Below are 6,873 nucleotides of genomic sequence, written 5' to 3'. Positions count from 1 at the left end.
TTGTCTCTTTTGATCTTTGTTGGTTTAAAGTCTGTTTTATCAGAGACTAGGATTGCAACCCCTGCCTTTTTTTGTTTTCCATTGGCTTGGTAGATCTTCCTCCATCCTTTTATTTTGAGCCTATGTGTGTCTCTGCATGTGAGTTGGGTTTCCTGAATACAACACACTGATGGGTCTTGACTCTTTATCCAATTTTCCAGTCTGTGTCTTTTAATTGGAGCATTTAGTCCATTTACATTTAAAGTTAATATTGTTATGTGTGAATTTGATCCTGTCATTATGATGTTAGCTCATTATTTTGCTCGTTAGTTGATGCAGTTTCTTCCTAGTCTCGATGGTCTTTACATTTTGGCATGATTTTGCAGTGGCTGGTACCAGTTGTTCCTTTCCATGTTTAGTGCTTCCTTCAGGAGCTCTTGTAAGGCAGGCCTGGTGGTGACAAAATCTCTCAGCATTTGCTTGTCTGTAAAGGATTTTATTTCTCCTTCACTTATGAAGCTTAGTTTGGCTGGATATGAAATTCTGGGTTGAAAATTCTTTTCTTTAAGAATGTTGAATATTGGCCCCCACTCTCTTCTGGCTTGTAGAGTTTCTGCCAAGAGATCCGCTGTTAGTCTGATGGGCTTCCCTTTGAGGGTAACCCGACCTTTCTCTCTGGCTGCACTTAACATTTTTTCCTTCATTTCAACTTTGGTGAATCTGACAATTATGTGTCTTGGAGTTGCTCTTCTCGAGGAGTATCTTTGTGGCGTTCTCTGTATTTCCTGAATCTGAACGTTGGCCTGCCTTGCTAGATTGGGGAAGTTCTCCTGGATAATACCCTGCAGAGTGTTTTCCAACTTGGTTCCATTCTCCCCGTCACTTTCAGGTACACCAATTACACGTAGATTTGGTCTTTTCACATAGTCCCATATTTCTTGGAGGCTTTGCTCATTTCTTTTTATTCTTTTTTCTCTAGACTTCCCTTCTCGCTTCATTTCATTCATTTCATCTTCCATTGCTGATACCCTTTCTTCCAGTTGATCGCAACAGCTCCTGAGGCTTCTGCATTCTTCATGCAGTTCTTGAGCCTTGGTTTTCAGCTCCATCAGTTCCTTTAAGCACTTCTCTGTATTGGTTATTCTAGTTATACATTCGTCTAAATTTTTTTCAAAGTTTTCAACTTCTTTGCCTTTGGTTTGAATGTCCTCCCATAGCTCAGAGTAATTTGATCATCTGAAGCCTTCTTCTCTTAGCTCGTCAAAGTCATTCTCCATTCAGCTTTGTTCTGTTGCTGGTGAGGAACTGCGTTCCTTTGGAGGAGGAGAGGTGCTCTGCTTTTTAGAGTTTCCAGTTTTTCTGTTCTGTTTTATCCCCATCTTTGTGGTTTTATCTAGTTTTGGTCTTTGATGATGGTGATGTACAGATGGGTTCTCAGCTGCAGGTCTGTTGGAGTACCCTGCTGTGTGAGGTGTCAGTGTGCCTCTGCTGGGGGGTGCCTCCCTGTTAGGCTGTCGGGGGTCAGGGGTCAGGGACCCACTTGAGAAGGCAGTCTGCCCATTCTGAGATCTCCAGCTGCATGCTGGGAGAACCACTGCTCTCTTCAAAGCTGTCAGACAGGGACATTTAAGTCTGCAGAGGTTACTGCTGTCTTTTTGTTTGTCTGTGCCCTGCCCCCAGAGGTGGAGCCTACAGAGGCAGGCAGGCCTCCTTGAGCTGTGGAGGGCTCCACCCAGTTCGAGCTTCCCGGCTGCTTTGTTTACCTAATCAAACCTGGGCAATGGCGGGCGCCCCTCCCCCAGCCTGGCTTCCGCCTTGCAGTTTGATCTCAGACTGCTGTGCTAGCAATCAGCGAGACTCCGTGGGCGTAGGACCCTCCGAGCCAGGTGCAGGATATAATCTCATGGTGCACCGTTTTTTAAGCCTGTCGGAAAAGTGCAGTATTCGGGTGGGAGTGACCCGATTTTCCAGGTGCCATCTGTCACCCCTTTCTTTGACTCAGAAAGGGAACTCCCTGACCCCTTGCGCTTCCCAAGTGAGGCAATGCCTTGCCCTGCTTTGGCTCGTGCACGGTGCATGCACCCACTGACCTGCACCCACTGTCTGGCACTCCCTAGTGAGATGAACCTGGTACCTCAGATGGAAATGCAGAAATCACCCATCTTCTGCGTTGCTCACGCTGGGAGCTGTAGACCAGAGCTGTTCTTATTCGGCCATCTTGGCTCCTCCCTCCCACTGATTTGAAGTTCTTTGCATGACATCAACAGATAAGCCTTTCTGCCTTAAAACCTGTTAAAAACAATACTTATAGAAAATTTGTAAGACAAAGTTGCAGATGATCAATTTTTCTTGAAACAAAACATGTCAGAGGAGGTTGTAAAAATGCATGCTTTCAAATCTTAAGGTAACCATAAGTGCATCAGATGGACCAAGAGTACAAAGAGCCCTCCATGAGAAGTTGACATGTGCAAATATATAAGCATAAAATGACATGTTACATGCATGTGGGGTACTGTAAGTAATATGGCATGACCGTGAATTAAATGCAGAGTTAGAAGGAGTATTTAGCAGGAATGCATTAATGCAGGAAGAGATCAGAACATTTAAGATCTTACATGACTGACAGACACAGAATCTGAGCATTTTTCCAAAGTCTACAGGAAAAAACTGATGCTTTTAAGCTAACTTAGTAAATCATATATAAATATTAGAAAGGTCATTTGGTTCCATTATGAACAAGGGAAGGTTTGAGGCATCGAAGGCATATTATGAAAGAACCACCTTACCACTGTTCAAATGAGAGATGATCAGAGACTACACCAAGTCAATGGGCCTGTTAATAAGGAGTTAAATTGGGGAGGTGACAGAAGATTTGATGATCATTTGAATGAGGTAAGTAAGAGGAAGAAGTCTTCGCTAACTTCTAGATTTCATTATTTAGTAATTTATAGGCATTACTACCCCAACAGTATAAAGAGAAGTGGCCAAATATGGGGAACATAACAAAGAGTTTGTGAATAAAGTTACTGATTTTGAATGCTTAATAAATACCAAAAAGAGAGACAGTCAGTGTATGTCTGAGTATCATTTTGGATCTCAGGAAATGGGATCCAGATGGAAATATAGGTTTATGATAGAAATATAGATTTATGAGTTATCAGTACATGGGGTTTATGTATAGCTAATTTGGAGAAAAATACAGAATGAGAAGTGAACCAAGAAAAGGTTAACATTTAAAAATGTGGTTAGCAACAAGTACCAGAATACCCAATTAGTAGTAATTTTTTTTAAAAGACTCAGTTTTCTCACATAACTAGAAATCCAGAGGGGATCACTCCAGGGCTTTGCAACTGTTTACACTGGCTTCAGGGTCCTAGGTTATTTTTGTATTTCCACTCTGAATCTACTGGTGTGTTGGCTTTCATGTTCACATTTACCACTTCATGATAATAAGAAGATGCTGCATCTCTACCTCATATCCACAGTCTAGACAGGAAAACAGCTAAGTAGAAAGCAGCAATTTCAATATGAGAAAACCAAAACTTTTTTCCCCTTGATTATCTCTCATTGGCAAAAAATTGTCATGTGACTATAACTATCCGAAAGAGTAACGCAAGTATTATTTCAGCTCATTGCAATCTCAAGCAAGCCTATTTCTGTTAGTAAGAAAAAGTGTTGAAAGTGCTAATGGTAAGTAATTAACAGAATCTCTCCCCAAAAATGTTAGAAGTTTGCTCCATAAGTTATCAGAAGAAGCAGGTCTTCTGAAGGATCTTGATAAGGAGCAACCCAAGAGACTATAGATATTTGAAGAGAACAGTGTCATGTACTTCAAACAACTAGGAAGTAAGCAGAAGCAGCAAACATACACGACATTCACATAGAGAAGTGAGCAAAACTTACATTGAAAAAGCCCTGAAAATAGATGGCTGTCTTCCTAATTGCTCTATTTCATTTGTACATGAACTTGTCTCTACTTGAAGACCTGCTGTTTAAAAATCCTATGTTCTTTCAGGTTCTGCTCTACTTGCTTTTCTACCTTCTTCGATGATCTTCTCTAATGTCTCAGTGAATACGATGCATTTTTATTCATCATGTGGGTCACTATAATCTCTTCATACAGTTTGGAAACTGTTCATTTCTTTGAATCATCTAACCTTGAAAATAATAATACTGGATACTGTGGAGCCTCTTGGTACTAAAACACTTGTTCCTTCAGATACTGTGCAAGTAGGAGGCTAATAGCACATAGCTGACACCCAGGAAGAGATCACCTTTATTCCAACATTGCCTCCTCCAAAACAACTTGCGTTGAATGTCTTCTTGATGCAGGTTATAAATATTCCCCTTATCCTGGCCCCATTTCTGGACAATTCTACAGTGCCGTATGTTCTTGGGATCATAGACTAACTTGTCTTTTCATCTAATTCTGCTTTTTTCACTCAACTCCCAGGAGTTTGTCCTCAGAGTATGCCCCAATAAGATTTTTTTACAACTAATCTTTAGCTCAGACTGTGCTTCCTGGGAACTCAATCTGAAAAGTGGACATTTAATCAATTTTAAGAATATATACCGAAAGAACACTGAAAATTAAAATAAAGAGTATATAGTATTGACTGATTCATTTCTTCATTCAATATGTTATATGTGTGAAGTACTGCCATCTTCTAGGCACTGTTCTTCTGCAATAAGAAAATGAAAGAGACAGCATCTCTACCTCACAATGCTTATATTTTAGTAGTAAAATACAGAGAATAAGCAAATAAAATGTAGTCGTACTGTATATCTAGATTGTCAGTGAAAAGTACTTCGGATGTCAGTGCAATGTATTGAGATGCCTGTTCGATATCTAAGTATAAAAGTTGCCTAGGCAGTTGGATAAACAAACCTGGAGTTCAGGGTGAGATCTTGATCAGAGATCTATATGTGAGTGTCACCAGGACATAGATGGTATTTAAACCCCCAAAATCAATTGAGGTCACCTAAAGAGTAAACAGTAATAAAGGACTGGAGATTGAGTCTTGGGCCACCACTATATGCAGAGGTTAAGGAAATGAAGAGCCAGCAAAAAAGTCTCCAATGTAGTGACTTGTAAAATAATAAAAGAGAAGCAAGAGTGAGTCTTGATCCAGACACGTGAGTGGAATGCAAAACAGTGTAAAGGAAGAAGTGAAGAAGTAAAATGGATTTTAAAACATTACCAAATCCTTACTCTCAAGCACTAGGCAGTTAGACAAAGTAGAGAATAGTGGAAACAGAACATTTGTCAGAAGAAAATAGATGCAGCTTAAATTCTGATTAGATTTTGGGTAAGAGCAAGAGTGAGAAAAAGGATGGCCATGAGTGGATTGTGACAAATTATTAACTGAACTAGGAAGGTTAGTGATGGAGCTGTTTAAAGAAAGCAATTTAACAAGTATGCGTGAAGTAGTAGGATGTACAGAACACTATGGTAAGCACAAGCACACAATTAAGGCACCACTCTTCTCATGAAGAGCCTATCAAGTTGAGGATATATATTCTAAATATATTTTCATCCTTACATCAGAGATTTTTTAATCAACAAATTATACGAAGAATCTCTGAGGAAAGACGAATAAAACAAATGGCTTTTAACAGTGACAATTAAACCCAAAGACTGTTGAACAGAATATATAAATCATTCTATGTTTTAAGAATAACAAGATGAATAAGGCAAAGTCAACAATTACCAATAGAATTCTTACCTACATGGGGAAAAGGGAGGGGCTATATTTATGATGATCATGATGATAACATTATAAAGATGGCCAACTTGTATGTAACACTGGCTTTACAATGTACACTGTGTCCCTGTTCTCACAACAACGTGAAATATAGTATTTCTCTCTCCATTTATGGACAAAGAAATAGGACTAGAAGTTGAGTAACTATCCAAGCTGTTAAATAATGGTATGAAGATTTGAACCTAGACCTATCTGACTTCAACACATATTCTTTCACTGTGTTACATCCCTCTTTACTCAGAATGTGATTCTGTGCATTTTCCAGAGGAAGACATGATATCCTGCTGGGTTAACTTAGGAAGGATTTGTCAATAGTGTTTGTGAACTACTACAGCCATGTTTATACTTTATATTTTAATGAAAATATTAATGTATGTCTATTAAAAATATTTCTGTAACTATAGAATTTCATTCTTAATAATAAAACATAACTCCAGCAAGTTGTATGACACTTTTGGCATCTTGTGCCCTGCATACTTCCTCTTAATCAATAAATAAATTTTCCATATTGGGGAGTGGTCAGAATGACTTGCGAAGTTCAAGGTGTTAGGAACTGTAAGTCAACTGTTGTCATCACACTACAAATTATATTATTTGATTAGAGAGGATATCAAATAAATAATCTGAAAATTATCCATGCCATTTAGATAACATATTTTAAAAGCTGAATTGAAGTTTGAATGAAACAATTTATCTATGATTTTGGTCTCACTGTGTGTGGGACTAGAAGTATCTCCTTTTACGCCTCATTAAAAAATAAAAAAAAACCTCATCCAGGATGGGAAAAAATAAATAAATATTCAGCTAAAAAGAGTTTATTTTGTTTCTGTCCGAGTTTGAGAGAGATGTCTAGTTGTGTTTATTGTTTCTAAGGATTTTGGCAAGACAAAGAAAAGCATTGTTCATTATAAAAACCACAGGGGAAACTTTAAATTAATAGAGAGAGAATGAGAACAATTTTAGGCCATTTCTTTGAAGCTAGCTAGGCAATTCAAAGTCAAGGGCATCAAAGAACCATTGTCTAGGAAGGCCTCCCTTCCCCAGATCAGACCTAAATATGTTTGGAAGAATTCATATATGTAGTCCAATGTGCTTAATTTTTTTTCAGATTGGCTGGAGTTGGAGTTAT

General features: G+C 38.6%; 1 annotated feature.

Annotated features, from left to right (window-relative positions):
* Positions 1,783-2,283: an enhancer, noted in NCBI's record as "H3K4me1 hESC enhancer chr12:83977974-83978474 (GRCh37/hg19 assembly coordinates)". NCBI's record gives its function as "activates a minimal SCP1, AML or CMV promoter by ChIP-STARR-seq in naive H9 embryonic stem cells {active_cell/tissue: H9 hESC(naive)}" and the evidence as "EXISTENCE:reporter gene assay evidence [ECO:0000049][PMID:30033119]".

Source organism: Homo sapiens, chromosome 12 (assembly GCF_000001405.40).
Source record: "Homo sapiens chromosome 12, GRCh38.p14 Primary Assembly".
Lineage (NCBI taxonomy): Eukaryota > Metazoa > Chordata > Mammalia > Primates > Hominidae > Homo > Homo sapiens.
The sequence above is the reverse complement of the archived record's forward strand: the minus strand, read 5'-3'. Positions and strand labels throughout refer to the sequence as shown.